General features: G+C 41.4%; 1 protein-coding gene across 5 annotated transcripts in view; it reads left to right on the plus strand.

The window, feature by feature from the left end:
* SH3BGRL2 (SH3 domain binding glutamate rich protein like 2) overlaps positions 1 to 20,976 on the plus strand; it is a 166,023-nt gene that overhangs the window by 73,210 nt on the left and 71,837 nt on the right. Inside the window, exons 3-4 of one of the 5 annotated variants that reach the window (XM_047419390.1) lie at positions 15,579 to 15,690; positions 19,922 to 20,186. The exons of 1 other annotated variant lie outside the window; for it this stretch is intronic. In XM_047419390.1, coding sequence (XP_047275346.1) covers positions 15,579 to 15,690; positions 19,922 to 20,167 — 358 coding nt within the window. In that variant the 3' untranslated portion in view covers positions 20,168 to 20,186. Of the gene's footprint in view, positions 1 to 15,578; positions 20,665 to 20,976 lie in introns of those variants that run through there. 3 more of the 5 variants (XM_047419391.1, XM_047419392.1, NM_031469.4) reach the window with 3 other exon arrangements.

Here is a 20,976-nt window from a genome sequence, read left to right on the forward strand (position 1 = left end):
CATCTGACAGATAAAAGCCCTGGGTTTGGGAGATAGAGACCTGGCCATATATGGCACATAGTAGGAACTCAAGACAAAATTGATTCATTGAATTGAGTCTGTATTCTAGTCTTGGATTTGGTGTGTGGTTTTGGGGAGGCGAGGGTCTAAACCTAAGTTTTCCCACATGTAAAAGTAAGAAAGTTAGACTTTGTCATTTTGACTATCCCTTTTGGCTCTAAAATTCTATGATTTTATTATTTTTATATATCAGCTTTACCCTAAACTTGGATCCATAGTCTAATCTTCCTTTGTGGGACCCAGTATACTCTGAACTCCTCCACAAAAGTGAAACTCTCTGAGTTTTGTTGTCATCATTTATAAAGATGTACAACAATATATAGGGCTGTTTTGTGGCTTAAATGAAATAAGAATGTAGGTGCCTAGCAATATTCCTGACACAAAGAAGGTACCCAAAAAATGATAATTGTTGCTATTTTTGTTATTAATGACAGGTTTTCCTCTACAATTTTAGCTAATGAAGGTTAAATCAATTGATCTTAAGTTAACTACAGTATATAACTTTTTTTTTTTTTTTTTTTTGAGACGGAGTCTCACTCTGTCACCCAGGCTGGAGTGCAATGGCGCAATCTCAGCTCACTGCAGCAACCTCCACCTCCTGGGTTCAAGCAGTTCTCCCTCCCTCAGCCTCCTGAGTAGCTGGGATTACAGGAGTCTGCCACCATGCCCAGCTAATTTCTGTGTTTTTTAGTAGAGGCGGGGTTTCGCCATGTTGGCCAGGCTGGTCTTGCACTCCTGACCTCAAGTGATCTGCCCACCTCGGCCTCCCAAAGTGCTGGGATTACAGGCGTGAGCCACCACGCCTGGCCCTACAGTATACAACTTAAGTCTCTCATTTGAAAATTTTCAGTCATAGACTCCAGTGTTGGGCAAATCCAGATTCCAGTAACAACTCAGCCATTTACTAGCTGCGTTACCTTGGATGGGTCACTTAACCACTTAGAACCTCAGTCTTGTTATCTGTAAAACAGGCAACATTATGCCTCTCTTGCTGGTTTTCTATGAGGATTAATTATATGTAAAGAGCCTGGTATAGGAATGGCTTGATAAATACCAGCTATAATGGCAAGTCTGTGATGTTAGACAAGGCTGGACCCAGACTTTTAAAACTTCACTGCCAGGCGCTGGCTCACACCTGTAATCTCAGCACTTTGAGAGGGCAAGGCTGGATAATCATGAGGTCAGGAGTTCGAGACCAGCCTGGCCAACGTGGTAAAACCTTGTCTCTAGTAAAAATACAAAAAATTAGCTGGGCGTGGTGGGGTTGGGGGGCCTGTAATCCCAGCTACTTGAGAAGCTGAGGCAGGAGAATCACTTGAACTCAGGAGGTGGAGGTTGCAGTGAGCCCACATATCACCACTGCACTCCAGGCCAGGCAACAGCGTGAGACTCTGTCTCAAAACAAAAAACAAAAATCAAAAAACCTCACCATCCATGGGAGAGAACAAACATGTGCAATGTATTAAATTCTATTCTCCCAATTATACCCTACAGTGATTTCTGCCAGCATTCCCCATGATGGTTTTATTTTCCCTACCTCACCTTTATCTGGGAACTTCCAGATTATTATCATGGATCTAACAATAAGTGGGTAAGAAAATTTTAGCGGATTCCAAAGGTAAGAATAGTTAAGGCTACCTACTTTCTGATACAGTGCTGCTAAAATACAAACCTGGAGCATCTGTGCAATCCGAACCAGTGAATAATACAAAAATCATTTTGATTTGACTTTGAAATGAAGCTTGGGGTGTTTTGGCAACAATCTTCCTCTCTAATTAAGTTCTGCCTAGGATAAAATCAATTCCCATTTCCTGAGCTCACATCAACTGAAAGCAGAAAGAGGCTGCTCAAAAACCTACTTGGTTTCAGAGAAGCCCACTTTGCTCAGTGTTTAGTATTTGCCACAAAAATCCTTCAGCTATCCACAAAATGCACAGAACCAGACTATGTCTACTGATTAAGTGGGATGTGCACAGAATATTGATTTAATGAATTCAGCAGGCACTGCCCAATCTCATTCACATGCATCTGTATCCTTCCTGGCCACATAAAGGTCAGGGAGCAGCTCTCAGAGACACTCGACTGCTGACCCTGCCATCACCAGCTTGTGGAAGGAGGCTTTCCCCAGGGGCCCTTGGGTTGTCCACTGTGGAATGCCAGTCTTCCTGGGACCTTCATTCCCTGAGGATAGGTGTGGGACATCTCTACAGGCTGGTTAGACCCAAAGACAAGCAACATTCTGTTTAGATCACAGCTGATAAACGATTTGACCAGGCTGTGCTTTTGAGAATCAGAAATGAAAAGAATCTGCAGCTCAAAAGGAGAGAAGTTTTGAAGGGCATCTCTTCATTCTTATTCAAGCATCAAAACCTGCATCAAAATCCAACTGTTCAAGTGCCTGAAGCAGGCCTTTGTGCCTAAAATGTCTGAAATAGGAAAGTCATGACCAAGTGAAGAAAGAGCTACATTTATTTGAGTGAAACAGATTCACTTCTGAATATTATAGGTTATAGTATGCACTATATTAGTCCATAGTTTCTGGGTACATTTTAGGGAAATGAGTAGAGTTATACCCTTTCTCAATACCTGATAGTATTCATACTCTAGAGATAAGGCTTTTGTATAAACTTTAGAAACAATGTTTGTGTGAACTTTGGAAACCCTACCTGTCAGATAATTCGACTTCAGTTACTCCTGAAAAGGAACTCTTTTTTTTTCTTTTTTTTGAGACAGAGTTTCACTTTGTTGCCAAGGCTGGAGTGCAGTGCATTCGGCTCACTGCAACCTCCATCTCCTGTGTCAAAGCAATTCTCCCTGCCTCAGCCTCCTGAGTAGCTGGGATTACAGGTGCCCGCCACCATGCCTGGCTAATTTTTGTATTTTTTAGCAGAGATGGGGTTTCACCATGTTGGCCAGGCTGGTCTTGAACTCTTGAACTCAGGTGATCCGCCTGCCCAGGCCTCCCAAAGTGCCAGGATTACAGGTGTGAGCCACCATGCCCGGCCTGAAAAGCAACATTTTTTGACCTGATTCTTTTAAAGACATTCCGTATTTTCCCTGAAGGAAGGTGAGTTTGGGGCATTAAGTGGTGTGCAGCAGGGGCGGCTTTGACCTGAGTTTCTGGCCCCAGTCCCAGAGCACCTGCCAGTCCCTGTAGTGAGAGAGTCCCAGAGCCCCTACAGTCCCTGTAGTGAGAGAGGAGGAGCGCCCCCGCTGTACTGTGTATTGAGCAGATATTCTTTGCATAGTATTGTGGCTGAGTGATAGTCTGAACCATTAGCTTATGTTTTTTTCCAAAACGTTTTCTGTTCTCTACCACTGCCCACTTCTCATTCTCGTTTCACTGCCTCAGGAGAGACCCAGGGCATGATGGGTAGCAGAAGAGTTTTTAGATTCTCCTGGGTTTGGTTGTCCAAGAACCAAACCCATGGAAGTGGACACAGTTTGAGGAAGAGGCAGAGGCCTGGGGGACACGAGAAGGAGAGCAAGCCTCCCTCTGGATTACAAAAGGGATTTCCCCAGGGCACTGTCCAGGAGGAGAGAGTACACTGCGGACCCTGCTGGGATCTGTACAGAACTGGGCCCTGCTCTGAGGAGGGTCTAGACTTCAGACTTTAGCTGCAGGGTGCTCCTAAGGAGGACACCCTTGGGCCTTGAGTACACAGCTTGGGAGGCAGACATGACAGATGTAGAATCATTAGACTGCCCCGATGTGGTGCTGCCACAGTATTATAGACTAAGTGTGTCCTCCCAAATTCCTATGTTGAAGCCCTCACCCCTAATTGCTAGTATTGGCGTAGAAAAGCCTCTGATTCAAGCTGAGACAAACCCTGAGTCAGGCTTGTTGGTGGGAAAAGGTATATGTTTTGTGGGTCACGGAGGCCAGTGGCCACAGGAGAGGAAAGGGGTAGTTTCAGAAAGGACTGAGACTGAAACCCAGGACAGACAGCAGCCAGGTACACAGAGAAGAGGAGGGCCAAAAGCCACTTTCTGATTTGGTGAGACTCTGGGAGTAGAAACAGAAAGAGCTGTGGAATTGGCCCAAGGCGACCTAGAAGTTTACTCCCTTAGAGGGGGTTCTGCTGTAGATAAGCACTTCTGAGTTCCCTCTCAGGGCTCAGCTTATAGGTTGCCTGCATAAGCGACTGATAAGGCACTAAGCAGAGGAAGCCAGAGGACTCACTGTCAACATCCTGCAGTGGACAATGCCTTTGACACCAGCACTCACACAGTCTTGGATTGATTGGTTGGAAGCATCCCACTGCTTGGGAGGCCATAAGGCCCCTGGGTTATTTTAAGTTTGGGAGACTCACAAAAGATCACACTTCTGAGAGTGGGAGGGCTCAAAAGGAGATTCTGTTTCAGCCAGTCAGTGAGTTGGGCTGGATTACACCATAAGTTTACAGCCTTGACTGAACTTCCAGGCTGATATTGTTCGAAAAAAATAACAAAAGTTCAGCTGGACCATTGTCACCACAGTGATTTCTGTGAAGCCTCTTCTGCGCAGGGTAACTCCATAGCCTGATGCACCTTACTGGTTAATAAACATGCAAGCTTTGGAGGGGCACCCAGAAGCAAATGTGGTTCTACACCTTTACAAGATAAAGCACTTACCAGACAAACCTCTCTAAGCCTCAGCATTCTCATCTATAAAAGGGGAATACCTCCCTCATAGAGTTGCTATAATGATTAATTTCATCACACCTATAAGATGCCTAGCGTACTACTTGATAGGTATTAAATACTCCACAAATTATTGTTTTTACTTTAAGGGTCTTTGGTTCTTTCTGTATGTGAGTTGTAGCACACAATAAACTATACCCATCTAAATGCCAAATAATTTCTAGTTTTATATTTTTTTTCTAACATTGTGTATTTGCTTTTTTTAAAAATCTGCTTTTAAACCACTCCTGCCTTTTTTTTTTCTTTCTTTTTTTTTTTTTTTTTAGACAAGAGTTTTGCTATTGTTGCCCAGGCTGGAGTGCAATGGTGCAATCTCCGCCTCCCAGGTTCAAGAGATTCTCCTGCCTCAGCCTCCGGAGTAGCTGGGATTACAGGCATGTGCCACCATGCCTAGCTGATTTTCTACTTTTTGTAGAGACAGGGTTTCTCCATGTTGGTCAGGCTGGTCTCAAATTCCCGACCTCAGGTGATCCACCCGCCTTGGCCTCCCAAAGTGCTGGGATTGCAGGCATGAGCCACCGCACCCGGCCTAAACCACTCCTGCTTTCTTAAGAATCTTATTTTGTAATAATGTGGGCTGAAGTCACCTTCTTCTGTTGTGTTTGGGAGGCAGTGAGGCCTTGAACAGCTATTAATGACACTTCCTCAGCAGAGTGGCACAGCATGCTCACACCAAATGGCAGGGCAAGAACACCCACAAGAAGAAACAGGAACCCATTTGCATTATAATCCTGCATGTGGCATTTTTAATACGTGCCCATATGAGGTGGATGTTGAAAGGGGTGACTGTAGGAAAGGCAGAAAAATAAAGGGAGGTGAGGATCTGGAGGCAGGAGTAATAAGAATCAATATTAATTGAGATTCTTGGTTATTGGCAGTTCTGTTCCTGGCCCTTTGTACACATTTTTCTCACTTCATCCTAATAATGGCTATGTGAGAGGTGGCTTATGATCCTTGTTCACTGATTAGGAAGATACGTCTCAGAGATGTTAAGTGACTTGCCTGAGGTAACACAGACAGGCTCCGCATCCAGATTTTTCTGACTTCAGAGCTCATTCTCTTACTAGAAAGAACAACAATGCCTCAAGGAGGCTGGTCCAGAGTCTGCACTCACTGTGTTAGGACCATACCTCTTGTTCTTTACAGTTCCATTCAGGGGTAGGACAAGATGACCTCCATGGTCCCTCAACCTGTCACATGCTGCCCTTGTTGTTTTGGGAAGCTCTGCTCAGGGGTTCAGGGAAGAAAAAGAAAGTGCATGGAGTGGTTAGTAATTCATACACAAATTTCCACTCAACTTTTGATTATGAAAAAAATCAGGGCTGGGTGCAGTGGCTCATGCCTGTAATCCCAGCATTTTGGGAGGCCAAGGCGGGCAGATCACCTGAGGTCGGGAGTTTGAGACCAGCCACCAGCATGGAGAAACCTCATCTCTACTAAAAATACAAAATTAGCCAGGTGTGGTGGCGCATGTCTGTAATCCCAGCTACCCAGGAGGCTAAGGGAGGAGAATTGCTTGAACCCAGGAGGCGGAGGTTGTGGTGGGCCGTCATGGCACCAGTGCATTCTAGCCTTGGCAACAAGAGCAAAACTCCGTCTCAAAACAAAAAAAAGAAAAAAAAAAGAAAAGAAAAAGAAAAAATGAAACACTTTCATTCAATGATTATTAACATTTTATCATATTTGATTATTCTGCATTTATCTATATGTACTTCTATCTGGATTTTTGAAATTAAGTAGTAGGTACCTTGAAACTTTATCCCTAAATATTTTGTTCTGCCTCTCCTAAGAATATGGACATTTTCTTACATAATCATAATATTATTATCACACCTAAGAGAATGAACAATCACTCCCTATTTATACTGAAGTTTAATATCCTGTTCAGGTTAGCATTTTCTTCTCTTCAAAAGGTCTTTATACTTTTGTTTTTTGAATCAAGACCCAATCAAGTTTTACCTGTTGTGTTTGGTTAAGCAAGTTAAACAAGATCGGTCCCTCAAACTTTGCTGTGTTTGTTTTGTTTCATGACATTGACTTTTAGAAGAGTCCAGACCAAAGTTTGGTAGATTAAGCCATATTCTGGATTTGTCTGATTGTTTGCTTGTGATGTTAGTTAACTCCCTGCTCTCTCCCAATTTTTCCTGTAAACTGGAAGTTCAATCTAGAGGCTGAATTGGAATTAGGTTAACTATTTTGGCAGGGATACTTCACAGGTGATTTGTACTTCAAATTGCAACAATCAGGAGGCACTTAATGCCAGATTGTCCCACAATGATGACATGAAATATGATCACTTGGCTACAGTGATGACACACAGGTCCTTCCATTGTAAAAGTATGGAATTTCTGTGAAGCAGCCAGCAATTGGTAAATAATCGGTTCCATAGTAACCTTATATTTGATGGTATCAACATCCATTGATATTTATGTAATTATGTAGATTATTTAATAAGTGCAACATGGTAATTTTCTAAATTATAATTTCTTCTTTATTTATTTGCAAGCATATCTATGTAAAGAAGAGCTTCTTACCTATTGGGGATGAATTATATTTCCTTTTAAAAAGCCAGGCTAAGTGCTTAATTCTTTCTCTTTGCTAATTTTCAGAATAAGGAGTTGCTGCAACAGTCACTTTCAAGGGTGGCAAATTAGTTCTTTTGTCTCTCTTTCAACAGTTCTATGGACTACGTGGATTTTTTACTTATTCAATTTTTATAATCAGTTGCAGTCACTGATCTTGGTGTTCAAATTGACCCAAATTTGGCTTCCTCCTGTGTCCTTTTGAGATATCCCCATCATTCTTTGGGCATTTTTTGGCAAAAGAAAATGGCCAGGTTGGGCCAGGCGCCGTGGCTCTTGCCTGTAATTCCTGCATTTTGGGAGGCCGAGGCCGGCGGATCACGAGGTCAGGAGTTTGAGACCAGCCTGGCCAACATGGTGAAACCCCATCTCTACTAAAACTACAAAAATTAGCCGGGCATGGTGGCATGCACCTGGAATCCCAGCTACTCAGGAGGCTGAGGCAGGAGAATCATTTGAACCCGGGAGGTGGAGGTTGCAGTGAGCCGAGATCAAGCCATTGCACTCCAGCCTGGCCAAGGCGGGTGGATCACTTGAAGTCAAGAGTTCGAGACCAGCCTGACCAACATGGAGAAACCCTGTCTCTACTACAAATACAAAAATTAGCCATGCGTGGTGGTATGTGCCTGTAGTACCAGCTACTCGGGAGGCTGAGGCAGAAGAAATGCTTGGACCTGGAAGGCAGGTTGCAGTGATCCGAGAATGCCCCACTGGACTCCAGCCTGGGTGACAGAGTGAGACTCTGTCAAAAAAAAAAAAGATAAACAGTAAGTGTACTGTGTTGCAAAGTTACTCGAAAGTCACCCGTGTGTAATGCAGTTAAGATAATTTGCTTCAGTTTGATTTCAAATTCAGTTTGCTTTAATTTTTCCCTGTAATAAATTTTAATTTTTAACAGGTAAAACATGTTTGAGCCATTATTTGAATTTGAGCCATATAGCTCAAATTCAAAACTATATAAAAAACATGATTAGGAAAATCTACTATATTCATTCATATCTGCTCCACCCTGCCTCTATTCCTCTCCACCTCCTGACCCCTCTAGGTAACCAATTATTTTGTCTCTTTTTGTTTGATGTTTTGTTACACATCTGTATGTATAATTTCCTTCCCTTCTTACACAAAAGACAGCAAACTGTCTTCCCTGCTCTGTGCTTTGTTTTTTTTTCCTCACTAACAATATTAGCAATTTATCCTGGAAAATCCATGTAGTACATACATACCTTCCTCATTCTTTATTGTTACTGTATACTTCAGTCAGCAGTCCTATGCTGTTGTTGTTGCTATTTAGTCTCAAAACAAGTGGTTTAGTTTATATTTTCTTACTTGCCCTTGTTGCCTTTGTTTATACCCTCCTGGTCCTCATTGGTATTTGAGGTTTCTGCTAAGGCTTTCCAGATGGGCAGAGGCAGAGAATGCCAGGTACAGCTGACTCCTAGAGAATTCATCACATCAACTCCACTTGCCTTTGCAGGAGATGAAGATAAGCAGGACCCCCATTGCTGCTGTTTCCCCCATTTCCAGCCCCATCACCCTGAGCTTTTTCAAGTTTAGGTGGGAAGATGGAGAGGGATGAATGAGGGGAGGTGTGTGGCTTTAATACACCTTGGTTTTAGCTTCTGCATCTATTCCTTTTCTCTTCTATAGCAGACATAAGTGGGAATCACTTCCCTCTTGTGCTAATTTAAAGGCAATTTTAAAAAAGAAAAGAAACCTGAGATTTTACTAACATTTAGAAGTCACACCATTTGGTTTTAATGGGAAGCAAAGAAAAATATTGCACAATGAAGCTAGAGCTTCCCTTTTCAAAAACAAATGTTTCTGATCTCTCAGAATAGCTTTAAATGTGTGTATGTGAATTCTCTTTATATTGATTTTTTTTCCTTGCTCATCTCCAAAGGTCATAGCACACATATTCTCCAGTTGTTGTTGTTTTTTTTCTTTCCTGCTGTGTTCCATTTACCGTTCTCATAGAAGCCTGGTTCTCCCTTTTTTTTCCCCTGGAATAATAAACTAATGTTCTTTCTTGCTGGATAATTATTTTGCAAATCTCTTTTACAAAGCTCATTTTTTAGGTTGTTTGTCCTATTTCTGTCCTACTCTTTTAAAAAATGGTGGATAAATTAATTTGGTTAAATTTAAAGATTTTTTTTTTTGCCTGATTTCCTTCCGACCTTTATGAGAGTGAAATGGCAAAAAGAAAATAGTGCAATGAGGTGCGTTTATCAGACAATTGATGCATGTTAGGCGCATGATTATTGCCTGGCTTGTGAATTACTTATGCTTTAGCACATGCAGAATAAATTAACCATGCTCTCAATATATCACCCATTGGTCCTCGGAGGATAACTGTTTCATGGGACTTTGGAGAGTCCTGTGTGAGGGTTGGCATCCTTTTTAACCTTTAAGTCAAGCAGAAGGTGAAGTAATGATAATTTCCCAGCCTGAAAAAAAGGGGAAGGGGTCCTCAGAGAGAAAAAGAACATGTATGGGGAAAGGAGATAAAAGAGTAGATGTGAGAGAAAAGTGGGGAAGAGGGAGAGAAGAGAAGAGGAGAAAGGGAGAGGATTGGGGGATAGCACAGAGAAGAATAAAAAGGATCTAAACTATGTTAGAGACACAAGTCTGATGGAAAGAATTATCTGCTGAGAGTTGGAAGCCATGTTTTCCAATTCTGTTTCTGCACATCTTGCTATCCAGGGAATCTAAGGAATTTGGTGTAAATCAAGCACTTTGGGAAATATAGTGGCTTTTAAAAGTTTTTTTAAGTTTTTAAATAGAGTTGGGGTTTCGCTATGTTGGCCAGGCTGGTCTTAAACTCCTGGTCTCAAGTGATTCTCCCATCTTAGCCTCCCAAAGTGCTGGGATTACAGGTGTGAGCCACCGAGCCCAGCCATGTCTCTTTTTATTAGTAGCTAATAGTTATGAGTGTTGACCTTGTACCTGGCACTTATTCAAACACTTGGCATAGGTTATGTCATTTAATTCTCATCCCAAGCCTAGGAGTTAGGTTTTATCACTATCTCAATTTTGCTGATATGGAAATCAAGGCACAGATGCTGCTATGGTCTGAATGTTTGTGTCCTTCTCAACCCAAAATTATATATTGACACCCAATCACTAATGTGATAGTGTTAAGAGGTGGGGGCTTCTAGATTATTAGGTCATGAAGGTATAGCTCTCATGAATGAGATTAGTGCCCATATAAAAGAGACCTGGAGAGCTATCTAGCCCCTTCTACCCTGTGAGGACACAGCAAGAAGGTGCCATCTATGAACCAGGAAAGAAGCCCTCACTAGACACTGAATCTGCCTTGATCTTGGACTTCCCAGCTTTCAGTACTGTTAGAAATAAACTCATGTTGTTTATAAGTTACCCAGCTTATGGTATTTCGTTATACCAGCCCAAGCTGACCAAAACAGATGTTAAGTAATTCACCCAAGATTGCACCAAGCAAATGATTGTGGCAGTCACTATTTGTTGCCACTCATCCCCCTTTGTCTTTCTTGCTAGCAGAACCCCAGTAGTTTCAGTCCCAGGGGATGAATGATAACAGACCTTAACCCGTCGTGGCTCTCCCATTCTCCTTCTTGATATACACTTTCTAAGCCTCCTTTGCAGATGGCCATGTGACCCAGATCTGACCAGTGAGATATAAGAAGTCTGCTGGAGTACTTCTGGGGAAGCTCTTCCTCCCTGATAAGAGGAAATCATATTTTTTGCTTGTCCTCTTCTTTCTTCCTATTTGGGATGATGGTATAAAGATGCCATATTTGAGGCTGTGGCAATCACCTTGCAACCATGAGGTGGTAACAAGCCCAAGGAAGAGCATCATGCAGAAGATGGCAGAATGGAAAGTGGAGTGTTGGAGGCTTTGAGGACATTGTTAGACTGATGTAATAAACCTGGTTTAACCTCCCTGTACACATCTTGTTATGTGAAAGAATCAAATGTCACTATTGCTGTTGGAAATTTCTCAGATTTGACCAAACCTGCAGCTGCATGTATATCAATTAATATGGGACCAGAAGCAGATTTGGGAAGCAGAAAGCCTGTCTTCATTTTAGGTTGATAGGCTGCTATTTAGTGCTGCAGAATTCATTTCCTCCAGCACCTCCCCTCCACAACCTTGACTACAAAGACAATTGTTACTCTTAACTGAGGAACAGTGGCAAAATGCAGCAAATTGTAAGAAAATAGGCACTGATGAGATTTCAATTTCCTAAACTATTACTTATTCTACTTTACTATCTAAAACCAGAACAGTAATGATACGTGTTGCAAGTAAACTTTAGATCACACCTCAAAGATTCCTTTCAAAGGCCCAAGATTCTGTGTCTCTGCATGGTTCTCACACAACCACTCACTCATGACCTTTGTGCTTCTACCCAGGATTCCAGTTTGTGCTAGCTAAAAGTGTTTCACCCCATCCCCCAACACACACCTCTCTGTTTTATTAATCTTCATATTTCCAGCATGTAGTACAGTGTCTAGTATATATTAGCAACTTGATAAATGAAATTAAAATTGTCTGATATCCTCTGTATTGAATAGCTACTTAAGTCATTGGGTTTTTAGGAATTACCAGGACATATTAACATTTTTCTGGTTTTGAGAGATGATTTTTAAAAATTAATTATTTACAATTTAAAGAAATGCAAATTGCTGAAGAGAAGAAGTTTGATAAGTTACTGATAGAGAGCAAGTGTTCAACAAATAAACTGAATTGAGCAGAATGGTCTTTTAAAAAGCTATGTGTTCTGGGCAAATGTAAACTGGTTAAAGTAAAATAAGGCATTTCACTACATTGTTCTTTGGGCATAAAGAACTTAATGAGCTTTAAAAATATGTCTGATTGCTGGGCATGGTAGCTCACGCCTGTAATCCCAGCACTTTGGGAGGCTGAGGTGGGCAGATCACTTGAGGTCAGGAGTTCAAGACCAGCCTGGCCAACATAGTGAAACCTTGTCTTTACTAAAAATATAAAAATTAGGCAGGCATGGTGGCATACGCCTGTAATCCCAGCTACTCAGGAACCTGAGGTGGGAAAACTGAACCTGAGGGGTGGAGGTTGCAGTGAGCGGAGATAGTGCCACTGCACTCTGGCCTGGGCGATACAGTGAGACTCTGCCTCAAAAAAAAAAAAAAAATGTCTGATTTACAATCGGGGGCAATTAACATGGGAAAGACTAAATGCTGTCAGTGAGTGCTTTGTTTCGTCATAAACTTCATGATACCTGGGTTGGATAAGGGCTTCTGAGTAGGGTATGTTGAATTTACAGGACAGTGTTCCCTGACATCAGTTTAAATCTATTTCCATTTAATGCAAAAATGCTTTCCCCTTGAAAGCTGCTATTTAAACCCAAAGACTGTCATTGCAGTACAGACTAGAGTGATATCTGCAATTTGAGTTGCCTCTGAATGTATTAGATGGAGATGGACACAAAGAACTGAGGAAAAGAAGTGGTAAGCTAATGTTAAGGTGTCTGGTTTTTCTCATCTCTGATTTTACTTTCAGGAAAAATTTGAGAAATTTAAAGGTGAAGACTTAATTGTTCTTTTTAAACTCTTTATGGCTTAAGGTGTTAAAAAGCACTAAAAGCAAATGTTCATAATTTCCATTCAGTAGGCCCCTCAAAAATCACAGGAAAAAGAATAATAAAAATAATTGCTACATAAATAATAACACTTTATGTTTTGTTTAAGCTGACTTTTCCATTTTCTCTAATTGTATCTATATGTAAACATTTTCTTATACTTCCTCTATTGCAATTATTTTAAATGGCCTTTATGCCTAGCATAATGAGAAATTATAACAAATTCTAAAAACTCATTAGCAGTGTATTTATGAGGAATCAAAATAGTTTCTGAATTCAACAATAACCTAAATGCAAACTTTATGTTTATTATAACATGGTAATCATTTACAAAGTGGTGGACTAATAAAACCAATATGTAGAGTATTGGAAATCCCTGTAACTTGTGTTGCCTAGAACTATTTCAGCAATAATCAACATTGAATCTTTATTTTATTATAGTGTTGTCATCTCCTGACCTGGAATGCAATCTTGGAAAAATGTATATATATTGAATACTATATATAGTATATCATATATATATCATCTATATATTATCATAATACATATGTATCATTAATCAAAAACATAAAACTATCTATAATTAATATTTTTGATTAATATATAGATAATATATAACCAAAAAAGATGACTAGGAGAGTCCTACAAGATTAAAAATCAAAATAAAAATAAAGAACAAAAACAATATCTGATATTTTCCTTTAAGCACTAAGCATACTTGTAACAATATGTTCAGTATCATCTTCCCCAATTAGGCCATAATTTCCATGAAGGTAGGGATTGTGTTTGATTTACTGCTGAATCCCCAGCATCTAGTATAGCATCTGGCAGAAACTGAGTGAACATAGCTGCAAGAAATGAACTGCACACAAGGGCTTCAGTTTATCCAGTGGTTACCCTACCAGCATATCTCAAAGCTTCCTTGTTATAGTTGCAGGATGGCAGCTGTGCCAGTCACCTCTCTTCCATCTCTTCTCTTTTTCAGTTTGCTGACTTTTACAGTAAGAATAAGGTGCTGGGGGAATGAAAGTGTTTTCTGTTTTTTGGGTTTTTTTTTTCCTGTCAGATAAAATAAAGAACCCTATTGGTTGAGGGGGAATGTGAACTGATTCAAGAATATGTCCTGGGTGGGCTCCATGGCTCACGCCTGTAATCCGAGCACTTTGGGAAGCCAAGACAGGAGGACTGCTTAAGCCCAGGGTTCCAGATGAGCCCAGGCAACATAGACTCCGTGTCTACAAAAAAATTAAATAAATAAATTAGCCAGGTGTGGTGGCGCATGCTTGTAGTTCCAGCTACTCAGGGAGCTGAGGTGGGAGGATCACTTGAGCCCTGAAGGTCAAGGCTGTAGTGAGCCGTGATCGCACCACTGCACTCCAAGCTGAGAAACAGAACAAGACCGTGTCTCTATTAAAAAAAATATATATATACACACACACATACATATATATACACACACATATATATATACACATATATATATACACACACACACACACACATAATTACTTCCATTCCTTAATCATGAATGTTGAAAGTTCCATTTAATTGAGGGATTGGTTAGTATGGTTTCTGTTAATTAAGATTTTATTTGATCAAGAATAGACAGAATTGGCCTGATGAAACAACATAAAGCAGTAGATAAATTCTCTTTTTATGAAATTTAAGCTGCATTATTTGACTTTATTGCTGCTTCATTTCACAAATATTCTTTTTATCTTAATTATGGCCTCTAAACTTCAATAACATCAAAAAGACTTTGTTAAGTACTTTAATTGAACATGGCACTGTATAAAGAGGCTTATACAAAACCAGATACCTGTTATTTAGAAAGTTAAAATCACACACATGAAACAAATATTTATAGGGTTTATATGCTTTGTGTGAATGCAGGCCCTTCCTTGATTTATTTTGCATGATTAATAATACCTAACACTTACTGAGTCCTAACTATGTGCCAGGCATGGTGTCAAAAAGCACTGTACATACATCATCTCTATTAAGCCTTGCAACAGCCAGGAAGATAAGGAAGATGAGGTATTGGCAAGTTAAACCAGCTGCCTAAGGTCATATAGCTGTGACATTAATGCAGGTATGGCTTCCCATTCCTTAACCCCTCTGGCCTACCCCTTCCCTTAACCTCCTCTCCCACAAATCTATCACCCACTAACAGCCAAAGGTGCTGACTCAGCTTTTGAAGGAGCAACCACTTAGAATAGGAAAGGGATTGTGACAAGCATGGTGTGGGCACTGTGAAGTCCCTTGACAAGTTAAATCCTTGGGGAGTCAGGTAATATTAGTTAAGAACAGGGCAGCCCTAACAGAACAAAATTATCAGTCAGATTCAATTCCATTCTAAAATTAAAATCTGGGCCAGGTGTGCTGGCTAACACCTGTAATCCTAGCACTTTGGGAGGCTGAGGCAGGAGGATTGCTTGAGGCCAGGAGTTCAAGAGCAGCCTGGGCAACATAGCAACACTCTGTCTCTAAATAAGTAAATAAATAAAAATAAAATCAGGACGGGTGAGACTTCAAACTGCTTAAAAGAACTCTTTATTTAATCTGTAGATAAACCTTAATGAAGGATATTTACGTTCCCTGATTCCCTTTATAACTTCTGCCCTTGCTCTCTCCCTCTACCATCAAATTTCCAAAGAGGAGAGATGAAGGATGTATCATTGCCTCTATTACCTCATCGGGTTCCAGTCTTCAAGACACTGCAATCTAGCTTCTGTCTCTACCCCTCTACTGGAAGCACTCTCACAGAGGTCAGTAATGATAATAAACTACTATCATAATAACAGCTAGTGCTTCTTGTGGATTTATTGGGTGCCAAACCCTGGGCTCAGTGCTTTACAATGGAGAGAGAAACCTGGATGCCCATAGGGCTGTGCCTGTAGATGGTGAGTTTAGTAAGCAAACCTGAGTTTACTGGGCTCGGTTTTTAAAAATCAAGCCAACATGCAAAAACCAGAATACTTCAGCTACAGTCCTCATGGTGCCCACCCTATGCACAAAGTGAATATATATGCACTTGGATCTTCCTCACCTCTCTAATCAATATCACCTGCCTGATCCCTAAAGAAGCATGAGTTACTACCCATGCTTTACATAGGTATTCTGGTCAGGATTTAATAGTTGAAAGAAAATAGACGCACTTAAACTAGCTCAAGATAAAGGAGGGGGATTATGAAACAGCAACTCAAGGGCAGGAACCACGGCAGACTTGGATTCATGAAAACTGAGACTGGAAGCAAGACAGCTGTCAGCCTCCTTGTTAGTGTCTCAGCTTCTCACTACATAGTGACTCTATTTCCCCGGGCCACAGACTAGCTTCCTCTTTTTACTCATTTCAGTCCCTTCATTGCCTCAACTTGCTCAAAGCTTCTCATCCCAATCCTATCCCAGCCTCATACCATCCCCCTTTATTCTATTGCTAACTGCCTTAGTCTTTAAATTTTCTAACTATAAATTCCTAAAAGAGGAATTTGAAGGACCTGCATGTATTTTCCGACCTGGTCACATATGTTGTAAATTTCAAGCTGCAATAGGTCATGCCGGGGGAAGAACACAAATGTGGTCCAAATATTCCAAATATCTGTGACCAGGTAGCCTGAGAGTTTCCTTTAGAAGGGCTGTGGGTTGACAGGCACCGTATGGCATAACTTAAATAATATCCTAAAGGTAGTCAATTATCATTAGAATATTGATTGATAGCCATTGTTGATACCCATTTTATAGACAAGAAACTTGAGGCTTATGGAGGTGATGAAATTTGCCAAAGGAGAGTCTCATTTTCAATATAATCTTTCTTGACTTTCAGGCTAACATTCTTAGATAGTCTCTACATTTTGAAACTTAAAATTCTTCTCTTGGTTTCTGTGACAGCATACTCTTTCAGTTTTGTACTATTCTGGTTGCTCTTCTACTATTTTTAATTCCTCATTCTTTTTCCAATTCTTAAGTGTAGGAGATCTCCAAGGGACTCTTCATGGCTCCTTCTTGTCTCTTTCCATGTTTTCTTCTTAGGCAAAATAATAGGCTTCTGTAGATTTAGATATATTCAGACATCATGATTTCTTAACCTGGGGTTCTTGGATCTCCCCTCACCCCCAGCCTAAAGGGACTTGATAGAATTTAGGGGGTTCATGGACTTGAATGAGAAAAAAAATCACATCTTTATCTTTTCACTAAACTCTAACTGAAATTTACCAATTCCTTCAATTATGAAAGTAGTTAAGCCATTGTAATAGCAACAACACTGTGACTTTGTTACCAATAGAAATCACAGGCATTTTCATATTTTCCAATGATTGCAAATATCTCAAAATTTTATCTTTTCCCATTACTACTTCAAAATCATGACGGCCGTTTGATCCACCAATCTTAATATTTAATACATTAATAAAGAATCATACATATTATCATATCAAAATTTTAACATTTTGGTAATTGTTTTGCAGTATAGTTTCCTTTGTAACCTTATACTTTCAAATTTTCTATATTTAGAAACTTTTTTTTTTTGAGAAACCACCGATAGATTTCATCAGACTACTAAAGGGTCCTTGGCACTCCTCTTACTCCCACAAAAAAAAAAGGTCAAGAACCCCTACTTTAAAACATTCTAGCCATATGGTCTACCAGGACTTGTAAAGGGGATAAAGTCCTAGGCAACATGGGAGCCACTTTCTTCAAGCCTAATGACCTGCTCAATTTTCTTAGTCTCATCTTTCAGTTTTGGCTACCCGCTCTATCTGTAGACCTTATTTGTCAGATTGGCATCTAATACTCTCTGTGGTCTGATAAGCTGGTGTTGATCTTGGACCTCTATCTTATATCCTAGATTGCATTCTGCTCTCAGGTACTCTTCCACTTTGTTTACCAACTCTGGGTCTCAACTCCATACCGGCCTTGCTGTTTTACTGGATTGCTAACATATTTTCTCCTGCATACAAGGTCAAAAGGTGAACCTTTTCATTCAGGGTGGAAAAAATAGAGGATTCTTCTTGAAGTATAATTCTGATTATATCCTTCTGTTCCTCAGAATGCATTTGGACACAGAGCGCTTATGAATTTCTCAGGGCACTTTTGGTTCCATGAAACAAAACCTATTTCAGGTGGCTTAAGCAAGATGAGGAACTTACAGATATAGGGATATTACACAGCCCTCAAGAGCAGGGATATAGGAACAGGTTGAACAGGATCAGAGATTGGCAAACTTTTTCTGTAAAGGCCAGATGTAAATGTATTAGGCTTTGTGGGCCATACGACCTCTGTCAGTCTACCATAGACAATACCAAGAGGAATGTGTTCCAATAAAACTTTATTTACAAAGCAGGTAGCCACGTGCATTTGACATACAGGTCATAGTTTGAGGACCCTTAGATTACAGTATTGTCAGGACTCTTTCTAAAACTTAGAGCTATTATCTCCAACTCTTTTTTACAAATTCTCTGTTGTTCTCTTTCTACTGACTAGCTTCTTCAGCTTCTCTGATTCTCATGTTGGAAGCTCTGAGCTTCCATGTCACAAATTCAAGCTCTCTTGTTTTCCCAGTTCCAATTCTGAATCTTTAGGGTAGAAATGTTGCTTGGCCTTGCTTGGCTTAGGTGCTCACTCCTAGATCAATAAGCTGTGGTCAGAGGGTTAGGCCCTGCTGTATGTACAGGGCTTGGGGGACCCTTACAACCTCTAGGATCAGAGGAAAGGAGCAGAAATCCCAAGGAGCTGAGCAGATAACCCAGTGAGAAAGTCCTTTGTTGGCATTCATTCAAACCTACTTTTTCAGCATTGTCCTCTACTAGTTCCCTCATATTCCTTTCTGAAGCAAAACCAACTCCTTGCTGTTCTCCTCACACACCCTGAATAGTCTCACCCTGCATCCTCCCTATCTGCAGACAGAAATTCTACTCATCTTTAAAGTACCTTCTATGGCCACCTTTTTCCTTTACATCCACACAACACTGTATTAGTACAGTGTGTCTTGTTCTGTCACTATTTCTGTATCTGTCTTTTTCTTTCCTAGACAATAGGTGCTCTGCTGACAGAGAAATGACTCGTTCAACTTTTTATCCATTCTTGTACCTTTCACAGAGTAGGCTCTGAGTTCCAATTATTTGAGTTTAACTATATCTTCATAGCTGAATAATTCCAAACTGAAGAAAATGCTGACTTTTATAAAGATTTGCATTTATATAGGAAATACGGTATCTACTTTTAAGAAAATTATTTTCTATTTTATAAACGTGCATTTCCACATTTATGGTAGCAAAATTAAAGTACATTTGCCGAGAGATACTAAAGACAGCAAAACTTCTATTTAAAATTTTAAACACGAAGAAGAAATAAAGTCCCATTAGGAGTGTCTCTTCTATTATTGAAGGAAATTTAAAAAGATTCCTACTACAGAAATGGCTTTAAGAAAAGCAATAGGAAAGGTTATAAATTTGAAATATTCATAACTGTTCTAAAAAATACTTCATAATGATTGCTCTTTGTGCAAGAAATGTATCAAAGAGCCAGAGACCTCATCATCTAATTTCTTACTTTTTCTTAATTAACATTGTTCCCAGACCTCTGCTAAACTCCCGTGTTGAAAGGAAAAAAGTAAATACAGTACAGCAGGGAAAACTGGTTCCTTTCGACAAAACTGAGAGAGAGGCTTGAGCTTTTGTCAAACAGAAAGCACTTGATAAAAAACTATTCCTAAACTATTAGCAACTATATAGAAGCTTTTTATTTAACAGCATCCTCCTGGGAAACTGCGCTGGAATGTGCAGCGGTTCTGAAAAAGGCACAGATTTGGCTGAACTGTAAATATTAGGTGCACAGAGGCGAAGCCATTGTGTAGGGAGGGGTGGGGCAGGTAGGGTCCTGATTTCCAATGTTGATAGAAGGATTCCAATTTCGTTTGGTATTTATTTTTTTCTACTACAATTACAGTTTTGCTGAGAAAAATAAAATATTGGTTGTGCTTCCATCTGGGTTTCTAATTTTCAGTGTGTACAGACAAGAGAAGACCTCTCATTTACCCAAAAGAATCACCTTTCTGCAATCTCCAGTGCTACTGGACAAACAAACGAGCCCAACCCCACCGCCCACACCTCCCAAGCACCCGGCTCGCCGATCCCGCCTGCTTCAGGTAGCTGGGGTTTGCCCGGTACGCCAGCGGCCCTGAGACGATGTGTGCCCGCAGCACGATCGTGTCTGTTGGCATTTCTGGGTGTGGATGCTCCAAACCAATAAACCACAATACAGAACCCAAGCTTGGACTTTGAACCGAGCCCTTTTGCCTAGTTTGCTTTTTCCTCATCAAGCCAGGATCCTTGCCAACCCACCTCACAGCTTCTGCCCGGGCTGTGGCTCCCCTCCAGCCACCTGCGCGTGTTCGGGATAGAAGCGCGGTCAGGAGGGGAGCTCAGTCCACCAGCCACTCCAGGGAGAGACGGAAACTACAAATCCCATCAAGCCCCGCAGCCGGCTCCCTCCTCCTCCCTCTCCTTCCCCTTCAGCCTGCGGCCGGGCGGCGCTGGGCTTTTATCTGCGGACCCGCCGGGAGGGAGCCAGATCCCAGCGATCTTCCCCGACGGCAGCGCTTTACCCAGAGGCTGCCGGCGGCTCGTAGCTGGGTTCAGCTCTGCGTCCACGCCAGCCCGGAGCCCGGGGGGCAAGGGGTCTGTCCCGGGCGCAGCGAGAGGATGGTCATCCGCGTGTTCATCGCCTCTTCCTCGGGCTTCGTGGCGGTGAGCGCGGTGGGGGCGGGCAGTAGGTTGGGGTCGCGGGGCGCGGGTCCTGCGGGAGGCGCGCGGCGCTCGTCACTGCGCGTCCTTGCGCTCAGCCGGTCCGCCCGCGGGAGCCCGCGCCCGGCAGGTGATCCATCACACTCCGACAACAATGAAGAGGGCGGGGAGGAAAGGTGGGTGGGGGACCCCGGCCTCACCCAAATGCCCACCCTGCGTGGCCTGAAAGGCAGACAACGCGGCCTGAAAATGGAGTCCGAGGGAAGCCCCCAGCTCCTGTTGTGTGGCATGGAAATTTGGGGAACGGGTTGTTCA

The sequence above is a fragment of the Homo sapiens genome, chromosome 6 (assembly GCF_000001405.40).
Source record: "Homo sapiens chromosome 6, GRCh38.p14 Primary Assembly".
In the NCBI taxonomy this organism is placed as follows: domain Eukaryota; kingdom Metazoa; phylum Chordata; class Mammalia; order Primates; family Hominidae; genus Homo; species Homo sapiens.